This window comes from Homo sapiens, chromosome 1 (genome assembly GCF_000001405.40).
Source record: "Homo sapiens chromosome 1, GRCh38.p14 Primary Assembly".
Classification (NCBI taxonomy): domain Eukaryota; kingdom Metazoa; phylum Chordata; class Mammalia; order Primates; family Hominidae; genus Homo; species Homo sapiens.
Window position 1 is genome coordinate 240,995,072 of NC_000001.11, and position 21,248 is coordinate 241,016,319.

At 39.6% G+C, this 21,248-nt stretch overlaps 1 protein-coding gene and 1 pseudogene across 22 annotated transcripts in view, besides 1 other annotated feature; both read right to left on the minus strand.

Annotated features, from left to right (window-relative positions):
* Positions 1 to 21,248, minus strand: part of RGS7 (regulator of G protein signaling 7) — a 582,489-nt gene that overhangs the window by 220,330 nt on the left and 340,911 nt on the right. The window lies entirely within an intron of this gene.
* On the minus strand, positions 3,338 to 3,796 carry RPLP1P2 (ribosomal protein lateral stalk subunit P1 pseudogene 2; annotated as a pseudogene).
* Positions 17,204 to 17,715: an enhancer, noted in NCBI's record as "OCT4-NANOG-H3K27ac hESC enhancer chr1:241175575-241176086 (GRCh37/hg19 assembly coordinates)". NCBI's record gives its function as "activates a minimal SCP1, AML or CMV promoter by ChIP-STARR-seq in primed H9 embryonic stem cells {active_cell/tissue: H9 hESC(primed)}" and the evidence as "EXISTENCE:reporter gene assay evidence [ECO:0000049][PMID:30033119]".

Consider the following 21,248-nt stretch of genomic DNA (forward strand, 5'->3'; position numbering starts at 1 on the left):
TACTAGCTTTTCTATATTGGCTAATATGATCATGTGATTTTTCTATTTTATCCAGTTAATTTGCTGGATTACAGGGTTAATTTTTGAATATTTAACCAGCCTGCATCTCTGAAATAAACCCACTTGGTTATGGTGTATAATTATTTTTATATATTGCTAAATTCTATTTGTTATATTTTGCTAAGGAGTTTTACATCTTAATGAAGGATACTGGTTTGTTGTGTTCTTTTCTCTACGTTATTTTTCTAGTTTTGACATCAGGGTAATAATAGCTTCATAAAATGAATTGAGAGATATTCTCTCCTCTTCTGTTTTCTGGAAGAGACTGTGTATAATTGAATTTTTTTAAAGTCTGGTAGACTTTTCCAGTGAAACCATGAACCTGGAGATTTTGTTTTTAGAGATTTCTAAATTATGAATTTAATTTTCTTAATAGTCATTGATTGCGCTATTCAAATTATCCATTTCATACAGGGTGAGTTGTAATAGTCTGTGGTTTTTGAGACACTGATCAGTTTTGTATAAGATGTCAAATTATGTGTTTAAGTTTATGGTATTCTTTTATCCTTTAGATGTCTGCAGGTTTTGTAGTCATTTCCCCTGCTTCATTCCCGAAAATGGCAATTTGTGTCTTTTCTTTTTTTTTTTTTGTCTTGTTACAGAACTGTCAATTTATCAATTTTTATAAAGAACCAGCTCTTTGTTTCATTGGTTTTTAAATTATTTGAATGTTTTCAATTCCATTGATTTATGCTCTTTATTATTTTCTTACGCTTGCTTGCTTTGGGTTTATTTTGCTCTTCTTCTATGTTCTAGAGTTTGGAGTTTAGATGATTGATTTGGAAATTTTCATCTTTTCTAATGTATACATTTATGTTATAAATATTTCTCTCAGCCCTGCTTTAGCAGTGTTCCACAAATTGACATGTTACATTTTATTTTTATTGTTTTTTTTTTATTTTCCAGAAGATCCTTCAATGATATTATTTAAAGTGTGTTGTTTAATTTCCAAATGTTTGGAGATTTTCCTTTTAGTTTTTTCTCATTGATTTCTAATTTGATTCCATTATGATCAGAGAACATACTTGGTATAATGTCTGTTTTTTAAAACTTATTATGATGTGTTTAATGGCCCAAAATATGGTCTTAGGGAATGTTTCATGGGAACTTGAGACCATGAAAAGCAAAACACCATGCTTTTTGCTGTTAGTTGGAATATCCTGTAATCAGGTCAAGCTGATTGATCATGTTGTTCAGGTCATCTACATCCTTACTGATTTTTCTGCCTGCTTGATCTATGGATCTATCAGTTACTGATAAAGGAGTGTTAAAGTCTCAGCTCTAATAATGGAATAGTCTAGTTCTTCTTTCAGTTCTATCCATTTGCCTCATGTATTCTGAATCTCTCTTGTTAGATACATACACATTTAAGTTTGCTACGTCTTCTTGGAAAAATGAGCTCCTCATTATTATCTAATGACCCCCTTTATTGCTTCCACTTTTCCTTGTGGTGACGTCTGCTTCATATGAAATTAATATACCTATTCCAGGTTTCCTTTAATCAATTTTGCACAACACATCTTTTTTCTATTCTTTTACTTACAACCTGACTATGTTGTTATATTTGAAGCAAGTTTCTTGGGGATAGCATGTAGTTGAGCCATGATTTTATCCACTCTGCTGGCCTCTGTCTTTTAAATAGTATATTTAAGTAATTACTTGTATTAAATGTAATTACCGATATGTGATGGTATATTTAATGTAATTACTGATAGGGCTTAAGTATGCCATTTTATTTTTTGTGGGTTTTTTTTCTTGTTCCTGCCTTCCAGTGGATTGCATTAATATTTTTTAAAATCCATTTCAATTTTCTAAGTTTGTTTGTTTGTTTGCTTGTTTTTACAGTCTTGCTTTGTCACCCAGTCTGGAATGCAGTGGCATGAAAATGGTTCACTGCAGCCTCAGCCTCCTGGGCTTAAGTGATCCTCCCAGCTCAGCCTCCTGAAGAGGGAACACAGATACATGCTACTATGCCCGACTATGTTTTTATTATTATTATCATTATTATTATTATTGCTGTTATTATTTAGAGACAGGGTCTTGTTATGTTGCCCAGGCTGGTCTCAAACTCCTGGGCTCAAGTAATTTTCCTATTTCAGCCTCCCAAACTGCTAAGTATGATTACAGGTGTCAGCCACCGCACCTAGCTCTAAATATTTTTGAATGCATTATTGTGCAGCTCTTTTTAGTTGATGATAAAATTATATTCACACAACTTATTATAGCCTTCCGGTGTAATCACTTTACCAATTTGAGTAAAGTGAAGTATGGAACCCTATGTCTCTTCATGTTCCTTTACTCTCCCCAATTTTTAATGTTTTTTAGCTAATTCCTCTATGTACATTTAGAATCATATCAGACGTTGTTACATTTTTTTCTTCAACAATCAAAACAATCAAAAAAATTCAGAAGGATGGGTGCAGTGGCTCACACCTGTAATCTCAGCACTTTGGGGGACCGAGGTGGGCAGATCATTTGAGGTCAGGAGTTCGAGACCAGCCTGACCAACATGGGGAAACCCCATCTCTACTAAAAATACAAAAATTAGTCGAGAAGGGGGCACATGCCTGTAATCCCAGCTACTCAGGAGGCTGAGGCAGGAGAATCACGTGAATCCAGGAGACAGAGGTTGCAGTGAGCGGAGATCGTGCCACTGCACTCCAGCCTGGGCAACAGAGCAAGACTTTGTCTCAGGAAAAAACAAAATTTTCAGAAAATCAGAGAAGATAAGTCTATTGTATTTCTTACATGTTTGCTTACCACGTTTTGTTCTTATCTGATATTCCAAGGTTCCTTTTCTTATCGTTTCCCTTTTATTTAGAAAATTCCTTTTAATCATTCTGTTAGAGTTCGTCAGCTGGTGACAAATTCTCTCAGTTTTCCTTCATCTGAGAATGTTTTCATTTCCCCGTTATGCCTCAGGAAAAATGTTTGCTGGGCAGAGGATTACGGATTGACAGTTCTTTCTTTTCAGCAGGAAAGGAAAAATTTTGTGGCACTTTCTTCTGGCATCCACGGTTTTTCTCATGAGAACGCTGCTGTGGTTTGAATCATTTTTCTCTTCTAGTTAATGTGTCATTTTTCCCTGACTGCTTTCAAGATGTTTGTTTTGTGGTTGTCTGCAGTTTTCAAATGTTTATTAAGTGGCTTGGTATGCATTTCGTTGGGCTTATTTATCCTATTTGGGCTTCTCTCAGCTTCTTCAACTGAAGGTTTATATCTTTGCTATGCTTGTGATGTTTTTAAGCCATTATTTCTTCAAGTACTTTTTTTTTTTAAGTTCAGCTTTTTATTGAACACATTATAAAAGAGGTTTCGTCAAAAAGACCAAAGCCCATGTCACCATCAGACTTCTCGGATTCTTCTTTCTTTGCTTCCACTTTCTTCTCCTCAGCTGGAGCAGCAGCAGCAGAGGCGGGCAGAAGCTCCTGCTGGTACAGATAGAGCCAGCTGCTGGACCAGGTCCACCAGCCCCTACATTGCAGAGGAGGCTCCCCATGTTGACTTTGGCCAGGCCTTTGCAAACAAGCCAGGCCAAAAGGGTTCAACATTTACACCGGCTGCTTTAATGAGGGCATTGATCTTATTCTCCGTGACGGTCACCTCATCATCGTGCGGAATGAGGGCCAGGTAGATGCAGGCGAGCTGGGAGACGAAGGCCATGGCACGGGTGAGTGTGGGGCTGGCGCTGCCGGACGCGGATGGACCGAGCACCTTGGTGGCAGCTGAGGAAAGGTTCTTCAAGCACTTTTTTAGTCCCCTTATCTTTTTCCTATCCTTTCATAACTCCAATGGCACCAATGTTAGATCTTTTGTTATAAACCCACAAAAGATCTCCATCCCAGAGGCCGTGCTCCTTTTTGTCAGTCTGTTTTCTCTCCGCTGTTCAGATTAGGTAATTTCTGTTGTTCTGTCTTCTATTTCACTGACTTAGTGGTTTCTTCCATCTTATCGATTTTGCCATTGAGCCCATCCACTGAGTTTTCCTTTTTGATGTTGTCCTTTTCAGTCCTAAAGTTTCCATTTTTTTATAACTTCTATTTCTTTGCTGAGAATTTCAGTTTATTTCCTGAGGCCTTCTAGTTTGTAATATGCTTAAAGCATATTATTATTATTATTATTAAATAATTTTTATCATAGATCAGGGGTGTCCAATCTTTTTTGGCTTCCCTGGCCACACTGGAAGAAGAATTACACATAAAATACACTAACACTAATGATAGCTGATGAGATTTTTAAGAATCACAAAAAAAACAACCAACCTCATAATGTCTTAAGAAAGTTTACGAATTGCTTTTGGGCCATATTCAAAGATGTCCTGGGCCACAAGTTGGACAAGTTTGTCATGGATACTTCAAAATCTTTGTAAGCTAATCTATTAACTCTGTCATCTCAATCTTGACCACTATTGATATATATATTTTTTCCATTTAGTTAGAGGTCTTCCTGGTTCTTGGTACGATGAGTATTTTGTTGTTGTTGTTGTTAATACAGCGTCTCACTCTGTCACCCAGGCTGGAGTGCAGTGGTGTGATCTTGTCTCAGTGCAACATCTACCTCCCAGGCTCAAATGATTCTCGTGTCTCAGCCTACCAAGTAGCTGGGACTACAAGCATGTGCCACCACGCTCGGCTAATTTTTTTTTTTTCCCAGTAGAGACGGGGTTTCGCCATGTCGGCCAGGCTGTTCCCAAACTCTTGGCCTCAAACAATCCACCCACCTCGGCCTATCAAAGTGCTGCGACTACAGGCGTGAGCCACTGAGCCTGGCCTGATGAATGTTTTTTAAAATTGAAAGCTGGACATCTTTGTATTTTGTTATGCGATTCTGGGTTGTCGTTGGCTTTTGATGACACCACTCCTCCGGAAGAGGGAAATGCTGTTTCATGACCACCTGCTGAGGGTAGAAATTTGACACTGCAGTGAGGGTGGCCTGGTCACCACTGTTTGATGGCAGAAGTCTCGATGCTCCCTTAGGCTTCTTCTGACACCACTCCAGGGTGGAGAAGTGGGGTGTTATTACTACCAGGTTGGTGTGGGATATCCAGTCTCCTCTCGTGATCTTCACTGAAATGTGGATGGGGGAAAGGAGGTCTCATTCCTGACAAGAAGCAGACCAGTGGTGACTAGGGATGGGGCGGGGTGAGGGAAAATGAAGAAAAATGGGTTTCAAAAAGGCACAAGGAAACTTTTGGGGAGAATAAAAATTTCTACTATTTTGATTATGGCTGTGGTTTTAGGGATATATTCATGTGTCCAAATGCATCAAAATTTTATACTTTACAGCTATCCAGGTTGTGTATTAATTATCCCTTAATAGGTATAAAACTCAAAACATCTGAAAACAAAGAAGGAAATATTTTAAGTCTCCTTACTCATGTCTTCAATGTGAATTAGGTTGTAAGATGGTAAGACTTTCTTTTTTTCAGCACTGAATGGTCCAGAACTGTACTGTTCAATATGTTAGCCACTAGCCATATGTAGCTAATTAATTCCTCATTTATTTCTTTTCTTTTCTTTTCTTTTCTTTTTTTTATACAGAGTCTCCCTCTGTCACCTAGGCTGGAGTTTAATGGCGCAATCTCAGCTCACTGCAAACCTCTGCCTCCTGGGTTTAAGTGATTCTCATGCCTCAGCCTCCCGAGTAGCTGGGATTACAGGTGCGTGCCACCACACCCAGCTAATTTTTTTTTTTTTTTTTTTTTTAGTAGAAACAGTGTTTCACCATGTTGGCCAGGCTGGTCTCGAACTCCTGACCTCAGGTGATCCACCTGCCTCAGCCTTCCAAAGTGTTGGGGTTACAGGTGTGAGCCACCGTGCCTGACTAGTTCCTCATTTTCACTAGCTACACTTCAAGTGCTCATTACCCACATGCAGCTAGTGACCACCTTACTGGACACTGCAGATATAGAACCCTTACATCATTAAGAAACTCTTGGACAGCATTGGTTCAGGTATTACAATATTATGGGAATAATTATCTGGATATGTGTGTGTGTTCATGTGTGTGTGTGTTTTCATAGGCTAATTTTTACTTTTTCAAAATGAAATTATGAATGTGAAAGTGAATAGTACAGGACCTAACACAATATAGCTATACAACAACAATAAAAATGTTAGCATCTCTTCCATCCAGTTTGGAAAATCTTTTATTTGAAATAAGAGTAAGAAGTCAATTGAGAGAATTCCAAAAGGTGCCCCAAAGCAAAAACAAAAGATTGAGGTTTAAATGAACTGTACGGTATAAAAAAGGCAACAATTTTAAAAGTAAGATAGTAAGGATAAATAGTAAAATAGTAAGGCTTTCTAATTAAGATACAAAACCTAGCAGCCATAAAACAAATGGCTGATAAATATGAATTCACATAAATTTAAAAATTTCTATACAGAAAAGAAGAAAAGGCACTATAAACAAAATAAAAATAAATAAATAAATGACTGGTATACCCAGACAACAAAACATCATTGAGTTCTAAAAAGAAATGAACTACCAAGCCATGAGGAGTCATGGCAGAACCTTAAGTGCATATTACTAAGTGAAAGAAGTCAATCTGAAAAGGCCACACACTGTATGACTCCAACAATGCGACTTTGTGGAAAAGGCAAAACTATGGAGAGAGTAAAAAGATCACTGGTTGTCAGGGGTGGAAGAGATGAACAGGTAGAGCATAGAGGATTGTTAGGGCACTGAAATGACTCTATATGATATTCCAGTAGTGGATTCTTGTCATTATAACCCATAGAATGCACAACACCAATGATAAACCCTAATGTATACTATGGCCCCTGTGTGATAATGATGAACCCTGTGTGATAATGACGCGTCAGTGCGATAATGATGGCCCCTGTGCGATAATGATGCATCAGTGGAGGTTCACTGAACCGTAACAAATGTACTACTCTGGTTGGGACTTGTTGGTAGTGGAAAAGACTGAGGTATATGAGAGTAAGAGGTATACAGGAAATCTCTTTACCTTTCTTTCATTTTCCTCTGAACCTAAAACTCCTCTGAAAAGCATAGTCTTAAAAAAATAGGCCCGGCGGGATGGCTCATGCTGGTAATCCCAGCACTTTGGGAGGCCGAGGCGGGTGGATCACCTGAGGTCAGGAGTTTCAGACCAGCCTGACCAAGATGGTGAAACCCCATCTCTACTAAAAATGCAAAAAAAAAAATTAGCCGAGCTTGGTGGCTCATGCCTATAATCCCAGCTACTTGGGAGGCTGAGGCATGGGAATGGCTTGAACCCGGGAGGCGTAGGTTGCACTGAGCCAAGATCGAGCCTTTGCACTCCAGCCTGGGCAGCAAGAGTGAAACTCTGTCTCAAAAAAAAAAAAAAAATGGTACCACACTGTGAAGACATTTTTGCAATCAACTGAAAATGGAAAGTGTATTCTTCCATGTTGTCTCCCCAGCACTCATCATTTTGCTGTCACATTTTATATTTACTGATATTAGATTTTATGTATCTTTGTTTTAATTGCCCACTTAGACACAGTTCATGAGAGCAGTGATTTTATTTGTCTTGCTTATGCCTGTATCTTCAGTGTCCAAAGTAGTGCTTGGCATATGATAAGTGGTTGGTGAATGAATGGAAAAACTTTGAGAAATTGACAAAGAGACCAGAAAACCAATAGCAAAGCAGGCAGAAATGTAAACAGGATGTTCACGTAAAAGTCAAATACAAATGATTCATATTAAATGATGAATAATCTCATTCATACTTCAATAAATTCTAATTAAAACATATGAATACAAGTTTTCACTCAATACATTCGTAACATGAAAACAAAAAATTTATAATACACCACTTTGAAGAAGAGATAGGCAGCAAGAGTTTTCATACACTTGTTAGTTTCTTTGTAGGATACTTTTACAATACTTATAAATTTATAGTTATTACTTTTATAACTCAGCACATGCACTATTTTAAAAATTTACACTATTGGTATACTCGCAAATAAATGTGCACAAAGATATATACTCACACACATACACAAAGATACTTATTTTATCATTGCTTATAATGACAACAAAAAAAGTGCTGTGCCAGCCGGGCGCAGTGGCTCACGCCTGTAATCCCAGCACTTTGGGAGGCCAAGGCAGGCGGATCATGAGTTCAGGAGATCAAGACCATCCTGGCTAGCACAGCGAAACCCTGTCTCTACTAAAAATACAAAAAATTAGCCGGGCGTCGTGGCAGGTGCCTGTAGTCCCAGCTACTCGGGAGGCTGAGGCAGGAGAATGGCGTGAACCCAGGAGGCAGAGCTTGCAGTGAACCGAGATCGCGCCACTGCACTCCAGCCTGGGTGACAGAGCGAGACTCCGTCTCAAAAAAAAAAAAAAAAAAAAAAGTACTGTGCCAATACAATGGATATCATGCTATTCTGATGATGTGAGCACTTCCCTAAGTGCCAACCTTACTATCAGAAGAGGACTTGGTTGGGAAGGATAATGGAATTCCATCAAGTGTTTTATCTTCACTAAGGATTTTGAGTTTGCATCAAAACCTAATTACTGCAAAAAAGCATCAGGACCCATTTCCAAACCCTCATGAAGGGGCTCTCCCACTCCTGTATCTGCCTCCAGCAAAGCACTACTGGGATCCACTCACCAGATTATTTATTTATTTATTTTTTGAGATGGAGTCTCGCTCTGTCACCAGGCTGGAGTGCAGTAGCACAATCTCGGCTCACTGCAACCTCCGCCTCCTGGGTTCAAGTGATTCTCCTGCCTCAGCCTCCCAAGTAGCTGGGATTACAGGCATGTGCCACCATGCCCAGCCAATTTTGCATTTTTAGTAGAAACAGGGTTTCACCATGTTGGTCAGGCTGGTCTCGGCCTCCCAAAGTGCTAGGATTACAGGCCTGAGCCACCGTGCCCGGCCACTCACCTGATTATTAAACCAGATTCATTTAGGACTCTGCTGGGCACTGCGAGGGAATAACATAACAGAAGCATCATTTCTACCCAGAAGGACTTCACCGCCTACTAAGGCAAGCTGTGTATAGAGGAGAAAGTTAAATCATTCTGACTACTGCCTTTAATCCAAGACTAAGGCCTGAAATCCTGAAGAATTTACAAAATGCTTAGACCTCCATTATAAACTTGCAGTTGCCATCCCCAGCCTTTCTTACTGCTGCTTGGTAATTCATTTTCCACCAATTTGTTCTCTCCTTTTGTTCATTCCACAATAATGAGTATACATCGTGTAATAATGGGGATACTGGCACTGTGGAGAGACATGGTAAAAAGAATGGAGGGGTCACTCTTAAGAAACCTATTTGAACAGTATCTGAAGTGAGGAAACAGATAAATAGATCATATAGGCATGAAGGAAAAGCCTCTCCTTTGCCCTCTGAAGGTTCATTGAAAATCATTGACAAGAGGCAGATTAATAGGAGAAAAAGCACACGAACTTAATGTGTATATGGAAGCCTTCTGGATGAAGACCCAAAGATATAGAGGAAATTGTCCATTTTTATGCTTCGAGTCAACAAAGTCTGGAATATGACTGGACAGAAAGGGAATGATCTAATGCTACTAGACTGAGTGGGGAAGCCCAGCAACGCCTGTCCCTCTAGATTCTTCTGGCCTCTCTGAGCAGCATTCCTTCCTTCTGGGTATGGGGCAGAGCTCTCTCTGGACTGGGGGTCTTAGGACCTACAGTCCAACAAGGCAGGTCAGATAACTTCTTTATGACTACTTTTACGGCTGGCTTTGAGGAGAAGGGGTTCTGATTTCCATGACCCGCCTCGGGCCAGAGGGATTCTAGTCTCTGGGGAGAATGGAACAGGTCAGGAGAAGGTCAGAGAAAAAGTTTGCTTCTGAGGCTGCTTCAGGGTATTGCATTCTTAGTCCCAACAATTCCAACGTGGTAAGTGCTAGGACAGACTTAAGAACAGCCGCCTACAGGCTCACATACATGAGGTGCCCAACACAGACTGAGAGAGAAGGAAAGGGAGGAAACACTCAGGAACTTGAGTTTATGGTCAGCTTCCTCCCCCATTCTTTATGGTGACTGTTCCAATCTTTCACCATGGTTCAATTTCTCAATCACTTCTATGAAGTTGCTCAAAACAAAAGCAATATACAGAAGTTTAACTAAAAGGTATAGCCCTATTTGACAGAGGGATAATTTATACATACAGTTTTGCACAGATTATATGCACAGAATTTTAGTCCAAAACTTGCAAAGTTCTGACAAATGTATGCACCACGTCGATTAAGGTATAAAACATTTCCATTGTGGTAAAAATTTAAATGCCCTCCTGATCTTTCACACCAAGATCACCCCATGCCCTGACAAAAAAAAACTAGGATTCTCATTTCTGTCACCACGTTTTAGTTTTGCTTTTATGAAATGAAATCTCACACTATGCACTTGCTAGCGTCTGGCTTCTTTTTATTTACTTTTTATTTTTTGAAATGGAGTCTCACACTGTCGCCCAGGCTGGATTGCAGTGGTGTGATCTCGGCTCGCTGCAACTCTGCCTCCCAGGTTCAAGCAATTCTCCTGCCTCAGCCTCCCGAGTAGCTGGGATTACAGGCATCCATCACCACACCCACCTAATTTTTTGTATTTTTAGTAGAGATGGGGTTTCACTTACGTTGGCCAGGCTGGTCTCAAACTCCTGACCTCGTGATCCACCCGCCTTGGCCTCCCAAAGTGCTGAGATTACAGGCGTGAGCCACCGCGCCCGGCCACGTCTGGCATCTTTTGCTCAACATACTGCTTTTGATTGTCATCCATGTCATTACCTGTATTCGTGTTCCAAGTTGCTGAGTCACTTCCACTGTATGAATCTACTACAATTTGTATATAGACCTTCAAATTTTTTCCAGTTTATGGCTCTTATAAAAAATGCTATGAACATTCTTGCACAGAGCTTATTGTAGACATATATTTTCGTTTATTTTGGTAAATCCCTTCCCTCTGCCTTTGGTAGACATATAACGTAGTATTCTGAGTCTTAAAAGTTAGAAGGTTAGGATAAAAAAAAACCCAGTGGTAAAACTGTATCAATAATTCTCAATCTGATTTTTAAGTGGCCTCAGTTATAATCTTCCCTTGTCTCTCACTTCAATTAGAAAATGAAGGTTAGCAAATATTAATGCCATCAATATACAGCCTCCATACACATTTATCTGTCTTTATAGCTCCTTTCTCCTGTTTTCTGTTGGACTTTGAGGAAAAGGTTTCTGTTTTCCTGTCCAAGGCAAATCCCTCTTCATCTTATTTTCTACCATCTCCTCAGGAGCTTTACTGTACTTTGCCCTCAAGTCTTTTTCATATTAAAAAAATGTCTATATCAAGCTCGCTAGACAAGAACATGGCACACACAGTCTGGCAAACAAGAAATATATATAAATAATCCTACAAACAGTTACATAAAGTGAAAAGTTCTGTAAAGGAAAACTAGAGGGAACAATGAAAGATTAAAACAACAGATCCTGATTTAGTTTGGAAGCTCAAGAGACTTCTCTGAACACTTGGATAGAAAACGTTGAAACTACAGATGAGAGAGAATTATAAATAAGGAAAGTACTTCAGGAGATAGGACAGAATTAGAATCAAAGTACAGTTGATGCTTGAACAACACAGGTTTGAACTACACGGGTTCCCTTATAGGTGGACTTTCTTCCACCTCTGCCACGAAAGATAGCAAGACCAACCCCTCCTCTTCATCCTCCTCCTCAGCCTACTCAACCTGAAAATAATAATGAAGCCCTTTATGATGATCAGCTCCTACTTAATGCATAGGAAATGCACTTTCTCTTTCTTCTTCTTCTTCTTATTATTTTTGAGATGGAGTCTTGCTCTGTTGTTCAGGCTGGAGTGCAGTGGTGTGATCTTGGCTCACTGCAACCCACGTTTCCTGGGATCAAGCGATTCTCCTGTCTCAGCCTCCTGAGTAGTTGGGATTATAGACACATGCCACCATGCCCAGCTATTTTTTGTATTTTTAGTAGAGACAGGGTTTCACCATGTTGGCCAGGCCAGTCTTGAACTCCTGACCTCAAGTGATCCACCCATCTCAGCATCCCAAAGTGCTGGGATTACAGGTGTGAGCCACTGCGCCCAGCCTTCTTTCTTTAGATTTTCTTAACACTATTTTCTTTTCTCTAGCTTACTTTATTATAAGAACACATTATCGTAAGAACACAGTGGTACTTTACTACCACTTCAAGTATGTTGAATGCTCTTTTATTCTTGGATATATAATAATAGGGCATAATATATATAATGTACAAATATATGTTCATCAACTATTTATGTTATTAGTAAAGCTTTTGGTCAACAATAGGTCATTAGTAGTTAAGTTTTTGGGGAAGTCAAAAGTTACAGATGGGTTTTTGACTGCATGGGAGTTGGTGCCCCTAAACTCTACGTTGCTCAAGACTCAACGGTGTAAGGAATTTGATTTAGGTAGAAACAGAGTCAAAACCCTTTTTCTGAGATAGAAAGAAAGAATTTGACTAGAAAGTGAAATCAGTTTAAAAGCGTGGTATGAGTATGTGTATTCCTTATTTTTCCTATGAACCAGAAGGCCTGACAATCTTTTGAGGGAGCTGAGGATGATACTTGAAATTTGAAGGAAGTGGTGAGAAGTTAGAAGTGCTACTATAAGAAATGAGAGAGGCTGCTGGCAAGGAATTAGTAAAAGGTTTGCTGAGAGGTCCTGAGGGCCCAGGTGAGGGTGGAAAGCACCTGTGATTAAGGCGCTGCATCTTGTACCTGCAACACCCAACTGTGCGGGCACATGCGCACAGGGACAACAGGTGGTTTTAAGGTGTGTCTGGCAAAGGCCCTGGAGGCTATTCAATGGGAGGAGGAAGTAAGAAAATTGTTAAAAGAATGAGGACATTTAAAAGTCTTGAAGCGAAAATAAAGTTAGGCAAATTCTGCCTTTTCTGCCTCCACACCTCAAATATACAGATATGGGACCTGTATGCAAAGATCCGTCCCTACTTTATATGGCAACAAAAGACAAACAAACAAACAAACAAAACAAACAAAAAAACAATAACAAAAACTGTCCTTCAAAAAAGACCAAGTTTCTTTTAAGGCCAAAAATCTAAAAAAAAATTCTAAAGAGACTGAGCCTGTAAAAGAGTTTCTATATATAGCAAAGATTCAGCAACTGAGATAAAACTCTATTTTTTCTCCTCTTAAAAAAATGGAGATGCCAGAACATTACCTAGACATGAACTTCTCACATTTCAATGTGCGTATAAATCACGTTGTTAAAATCTTGTTCAGATGCAGATTCTGATTCAGTAAACCTGGGTTGGGAGCCTGAGATTCTGCTTTTTAACAAGCTCCCGGGTAATGTTGCTGCTGCTGGTCCTCATTGAGTAGCAAGGATTTAGATCACCTGAGGAGTGTAAATCAACTCTGAGTGACTCAATGGGGCTTCTGTGTTTGAAAATTGTAAAAATAAATAATTCAAAACCAAAGCTGTTGAAACTGTAAATTTTTTTCAGCCTTAATGGAATGTGGCCGTGTGCAGAGGCTCACATCTGTAAACCCAGCACTTTGGGAGGCTGAGGTGGGCCCATCACTTGAGGCCAGGAGGTCGAGACCAGCATGGTCAACATGGTGAAACCCATCTCTACTAAAAATACAAAAATTAGCTGGGCATGGTCGCACATGTTTGTAATCCCACCTACTTAGTACGTTGAGGCAGGAGAATTGCTTGAACCTGGGAGGCAGAGGTTACAGTGAGCCGAGATTGTACCATTGCACTCCAGCCTGGGCAACAGAGCAAGACTCTGTCTCCAAAAAAAAAAAAAAAAAAAAAAAAGAAATGTGATTATGACATTCAGTCATAAGACAGACAGCTATAACCTAGGCAGCTGTAACCTTTGTTTCTCTGATTATAGATTGGCCTTTACTTTACTTACATTGTTTCGTAAAATGTAATAAAGGATTAAAGGGCACCAGAGAAGACCCCTTGCCTCTTCATTGTTGGATCTTCATTATAGATTAACTTCCCTTTTACTTCTTTTATACAAAGACCTCATGACTATCACACAGTCTGAAACATTAAATATACCCTTCTAAACTGGAAAAGGGAAATAAAACAAGCTGTAACTAATCAAATTGCTGTAACTCATAAACCAGCCTTGTATGGAAAATATTATAATCCGGTTAAATTTCTTTGTTTTCTGCCTGTATAAGCAAGACCTTAACTTTTCAGCTTGGGAGCACTGACCCCATTCCTTTGGAATCTGGGTTACTTACATGACCATTCTCAGCTTTGCACATGAATAAACACTTTTAACCTGGATTCTGACTCTTTCATTTATTTCAGGTTGACAGAATGTAGGAAGAGAATCTGGCAGATCTCAGATAAACAGCAAAAGGAAGAGAGAAGGTCCTTTGGGTCCCTGTGGTGAAGGAGTCTATAGTGACCTGAATTATGAAACTGCCCCATAGCCTTGGAGGTTAGAGTTCAAATAGGAGGTACCATTCAGATTTCCCAGCCATTACTGAGTTGAAAACTGGTGGCATCAACTGGCACCCTGTAGATAAACTGACACACGACTGTAAACCCAGAAATTGGAAGTGAACACTTCTCTCACTGTTATACTTGAATGGGCATGTTAGAAGGCATACTGCAAATTGTTGGAAGGAGAGTCAACAATGAGGGACAAACTAGAAAGTGGAAGAAATAGGTCAGATGAAAGTTCAATAACAAAGCATTAAGTTGAGATGGTATTTGGGGTAGTACCTAGTAAGACGACTTAAGAAACATGGATGAAGCTGGAAACCATCATTCTCAGTAAACTATCACAAGGACAGAAAACCAAACACCGCATGTTCTCACTCATAGGTGGGAGTTGAACAATGAGAACACATGGACACAGGGAGGGGAACATCATACACCGGGGCCTGTCAGCGGGTGTGGGGCTGGGGGAGGGATGGCATTAGGAGAAACACCTAATGTAAATGACTAGTTGACGGGTGCAGAAAACCAACATGGCATATGTATACCTATGTAACAAACCTGCACGTTGTGCACATGTACCCTACAACTTAAAGTATAATTAAAAAAAAGAAAAGAAACATGGTATGACTTTCTGGGCTTGTGTATCTGAAGGAAATGGCTCTGAAGTGATGGCTGTGCTGGTGCTGTGAATGAACACCTGATCATGGTACCAGTCCACAGTCTGGATGCTTGTGGTAGAGCCAAAGAATTAGAATTTCTCTATGGATTGACGTTTCCAACATAATACACATGGATTTAAACAGTTAAGGCAAAAGTGTTTAGCAACATATGCTTTCATGTCACTAACCTAAATCCACCAGGAAAAAACCCCAAGTGGATCAAGAACTCTGCTCTGTGATGATCTCTCCCTGACACATTCAGCACACAGAAAGGAATCATTGCTGATCGTTTGTAACATGCCAAGAATGAAACTGCATTTTGGGATACTTTATTTTGCTCTCCTCCTTAGAGGCCAAGAGAGAAATTAAATTAAAGTCCATAGATCAAAAGCATAACTTCTCAGCTAAAAATGCAGCTACACATTAGTTAACATTCAGAAGACCAGGCCCTTTGCGGTTTTGTGACTTTCAAGTTAATGTCTTCTCAGCCAATGCACTAATTTCCTGCTGATCCTATCAATGGGTCGCGTCTGGGAATCACAGCACCTACAATGTCAACAGGGAGAATATGCAGATGTCTCTGGTGGAAGAGGTGATAAGCTCCATCAAAGTCTTGATCCTCTCATCAGAAAGGCTATCACCATTTTTCGTCCCACATGGGTTTTCCCCTCTGTCAATATGGCCCCGTGCCTGGTAAATCTGCATAATGAGATGGTTTTCATAAATCACGTGCAATCAACACACAGATTTTTTTGGACCTCTAACCAAGACTATATGTGTTTTAACTAGACTGAATACATAACTCTAGTGAAATAAAAAGAAAGTTTGTCTCAAGCAGAGAAAAGTCTTCAAAAGATGGCTGCAGGAGTATGCTTCCCCAGGGAGCTAATCTGTCTGGGTTAGGATAAGAAATAAAATGATTTTGTTTTTCACATTTTTAAAAAAGTTCTTGTGGTTGCAATATCCAACAAAATGTACTGTTGACTGCCTCAAATGGACAGTGCATATTCTTCCAGGATGGGCTTGGGGACTGAAAGGCAGAAGGACATACGTGCCCCTTCCTTCCTGGCAGCAGGGGAGGAAACGGCCTCATAGAATGGCAGAGAGCAAAGTAGAGCAGCCTCATGAAAGAGGCCATGGATGCTGACATGCTTGCTGGAGAAGATGAAAGAGATCCAGAAAGTTCCTGTGGCCCCTTGAGTGTTAGAAATGAAAACCAAGTAAAAAGTAAGAATTAAGTTGTCTGCTGGGGGCTCTCCACAGTGTGGATTGAGGGACCTTTAGATGATGGTGTCAAAGGCATTCGAACCAGAGTGACTCCATCTTGAGTAAGGGCTAGGGAAAAAATGAGGCTGGGACTTGTTGGGCTGTGTTCTCACAAAGTTAGGTATTCCTAGCCTCTAGGTGCTTACTGTTAAGAAAACAGATTGATAACATTTACTAAACAGACCCAGACTTAGGAGTGTCCTGATATCCCCATACCTTGAGAACAGAAGCATTCTTAATTTTGCTTTAAAGGTAATAATATCGATTCTTACAAAACATAGTAATTAAGAAAATTAATCCTATATCACAAACCCATGTAGCACAACACATGATCTTTTGATATATATATATATCTATCTATAAACTAGTATTGTACCTAAGGTGGATGCATTCCTCCCCTTACTTTTGGCAACGCCCTACTCTGTCTATGGAGTAGCTGTTCTTTATTAATAAAGCTGTTCTTTCTTAATAAACTTGCTTTTGCTTTGCGCTGTGGTCTTGCCCTGAATTCTTTCTTATGTGAGATCCAAGAACCCTTTCTTGGGGTCTGGACTGGGACCCCTTTCTGGTAACATCACTAGCCAGTTATAGACAACAGTAGTAATGGGGTGGTGTGGAGGAAGGGAGACCTTACATTGACTATACCCAGAGAACAGACCGTGAGCTATATCAATGCAGGAATATTGAAGAGTGAATGCAAATAGGGCAGAGGGCAACACGCAGATACACAATAGGACATGACATCTCAATGAAGATAGGTGAGACCGGAGGACCAAATGAGGACCAGAAGCCAGGGAAAAGTCCAAGGTCCCTCATGCAAAGGCACGAGGGCACACAACCTACTTGCCTTACACCAGAGTGCTGTGCAAGAAAAGGAAGGCAGAGGGAAAGTAGATCTGGGAAGAAACTTTCCCCAGATGACAGTAAGTCACCAGACAGTGGCAGGATAACCAGGAAGTGTTCAGTTATACATAATAGGCAAGATTAAACCACATTTCCAAAATCTCTCATTATCCCCCTTCCTGACCCTTCATCAGTCAATAAAATAGGGCTCATGAGGACATTCGGGTCAGTTATACAGTGAAGGGGACCAAAATATGTCACCCAAATATACTTCTTTGGCATATTTCAAGATGGCTATTCCGAAAGGCTGCAGACAGAAATAGTCTTGCAAAGCTGCCTTTTGTGCTGCGAGATTTGCATCTGTAGAGAAAATCTACATTGGTGAAATAAACACCCAGGCTCTCTCTGAGTCCCCCTTAACCAGCTCTAGGAAAGATTAACTCACAGTAAAAGGAGACTAAAAGTCTGGGACTTTTAAAGGTCTAGCAGAGAAACTTTTACCACTGGCTACTAACTGTTCTTTCTAATGGCTGGGCTGCTACCCGTGAGGTTTCATCTGCATAACAAGATAGCCTTTGCTTGCAATGCATTCCTCTCTCACTCTTACATAACCTGTGATGCTACCTCCTCCCAGAAGCCCTAAGCCCCTACTCTTCTGTAACTTCAGGCTGGTATAAAAATGTCAGCCATCTGACCCCTCCTTTTTTTTTTTTTTTTTTTTTTTTTGTGAAACGGAGTCCCACTCTGTTGCCCAGGCTGGAATGCAGTGGTGTGATCTCGGCTCACCGCAACCTCCACCTCCCGGGTTCAAGCGATTCTCGTGCCTCAGCCTTCCCAGTAGCTAGGATTACAGGTGTGCACCACCATGCTCAACTAATATTTGTATTTTTTCTAGAGATGGGGTTTCACCCTGTTGGCCAGGCTGGTCTTGAACTCCTGACCCCAAGTGATCTGCCCACCTTAGCCTCCCAAAGTGCTGGGATTACAGGCATGAGCCACCGCACCTGGCCCTGATCCCTGCTTCGAGTCTCACACTTTGTGTATGGCTCCTGTGTCCACATGAATGTTCACACATTTGAATACCTTTTTCTTCCTGTGACTATGTCTTTTCTTCCAAAGGTGTCCCAGCTAAGAACTTGCGAGGGTTAAGAAAATAAATTATGTATTTTTTCTCCCCTTCAACAGAAATAAAAAGATGTACCCTCTGCTAGTGTCGTGGTGTTGTTGTGGTCAATTTTAAACAAGCTGCACTAGGGATCTGAAAGGGCCCCTCCTCCATTTCATAGCTCAGAAAGCTTGACTGTTGCCTTCACTCTGCTGGTGAGAAAATTAGCTCAGCAAATATGTCTCTTCCCACTCAGGCAAAGCAAAAAGAAATGACCCCTGTCAAGGAATTTAAAAAGCTGTTACCTAAAAGGGGCACAATGAGGACATTACCTATCTCCATTGTCTTAGTGTTAGGCTACATAATTAAAATGACTCCACCATATCATGTTCGTAAAAGACATAATGACAGGAGGGGACAGAGCAAGGTAATGTCGCTCCCAAGAGTCAGCATATTAATGGGGCCTTTCAGTTTGATAATGTAATTAACCTTCTTAAATCCTACTCTCAGTAAAATTCCAAGGAGCAGAAGCTACAAGAATAATGTCCTTTTCAAGTAACCTTACTAGCATCAGGGCATTCACTTGAGAAATGGTGGTGATGGTCAATTCCTGATAAAAGACTTTAAAACACTGTTTCTAAAAAGGTCTGAGCTGCCAAATATCAGATTCACATGACCAAGCCTATGTTTTCATCTTCTTCTCTTGATGAAAATAATTTCTCCTTTCTTTCACAACCTTTCATTTTCTACATTTTATTGAATTTGAAGTCTTGAAATGCAAAGACTAGAGAGTCCCATGGTCGATTCTATAAAATCCAAATCATCTCCTTCATTGGATGCTTTATGTCTACAACCAGCCTTCAATACATAAAACATGAGACTGTCCAACAACCAGGTGGCATTGGTTAGATAGTATCTCTATGTATTTACAATATTATTCTTTTATGCAATGTTACTTAAAGGCCAAATTTTAAACATTAATAGTTCAGACAGCACTTCACCAGTTTTAAATCCACTGGACTGAGGCACTCAATGTTACTTGTCTACAGGTATCTACAGAACTAAACTTTTGCAAGCTCTCTCCAGTCATTTCGACTGTGGCCCAATGATGTCACAGGACTGTTGAGACAACAGAAATCACTGGATCAGTCATGTAACTAACCAGTCATTCCCTAAACATGGAAACTGCTCAACTCATTTATTATCATCCTTTGAATATGTATTATGTTCCAGGAAGCACCATGATCCTTACCAAGAGGGAAGTAAAATATTTCCATAAATATCTACAGTTAAAAGTTTCCATATAAGTGGTAGAAACAACTATGAAAATCTTGAGGACGAATACATCATTCCTGGATCTGGTGATCGGAAAAGGCATTTCAGCTGGCCATGAAGAATAGGTTGGTTTCCGTCAGACTGAGAGACGAGACTCTTACATAGAGAAAAGGATTCTCCATCACTTACATCAAAGGAAAAATTTTTCATGGGATTGACAAGTCATCCAGTTCAGCCTAGATACAGGGAAATAGCGTGAGGTAACACTAAAAAAGTTGCCAGGTTTCAGAAAACCCCTTCAGTCTCCAGTGTGTTTATGGGCATTGAATCACAAATTGAAAAATTCTCCCATTTCATATTCACAATTAAGGTACTTCTAAATCTAAAGTTGCACAGTTTCAAAAAGCTTTAGTTTTCATCTCCAGGCTGTCAAAGAAAGTCCAAGATCTTCTAAGATAATCCTTTGGAAGCTGAGAAATAGCTATAACTTCCAATGACAGATTTTTATTGTACCCGAAATTTCAAGTTTCATTATGTTCATCTGTCGTGTACTTTCTGGGCTAATTGTTCTGCTGTAGCTTAGAACAAAAAATATAATGCAGAAACTATTCAATAAAACCTCTCATTTTCACAGTTAGGGTTCTTACCATTTTTTCTTGGTTGCTAATGTTTTCAATTTGGCCATTTGTTTAAATTTGCAATTTGTTAGTAATTTGCGTAACTTAAACATCTAATATATAAACCTTTAACCTATTGACCATTATAGCTTCATTTCATAGAAGCATTTATAAACAAAGTACATACTAGAAGCTGAATTTGCTCCCCCAAAAGTTTACAGTCTTGTGCATTTTAGAGTAAATGATTGGTCTTGTACTGATTGATGGTAACAAATAAATGTCAACCTCAATTTTGTATTCCAATTTTAACAAAATTTTGGTACATTGCTTTTACCATTACTATCAAGTGAATTTATGTAAGTTAATCTAAGAAATGGCAATGATATTTTAGGATAATTTCATTTAGATATTTTATTCTTTTAAAAACTAAGTATATTCTCTTTCCAGTGATCAATATAAGATAATATCTATTATAAGAATCAAGTCAGATCAAAGTAAGGCATTGACTTTTTTCTGATCTCCCACATTTTAGTTGCCTAAATTGAATATTTACCAAGTTCTGTGGCTTGCACTGCAGAACTGCACTACATTAAGATAACTCCCATTAAACAAATTCACTTTAGTGTGTAATTTAATCAAGCTATTTGTTCAGTTTGCAACCAGGTCTTAATTTATTGTTTAATTCAGAGGTTACTAGAAAAATGCTCACCTAAAAATAATTAACCTAGAATCTGGCAAACTTACCTTATAAGAATATTGGCAGAAATCCTGTGTGGGGTGTGAGGTACGATGGGATAACATGGATGTGAAAAATTATGAAGATTTGGAGCCTGCCTCACACCAAACCAGGTTTAAATTCCTTAGAAAAAATTTTACATAAAAACTCATGTCTGGGTGCGGTGGCTCACGCCTGTAATCCTAGCACTTTGGGAGGCCAAGGTGGTCTGATTATGAGGTCAAGAGAACAAGA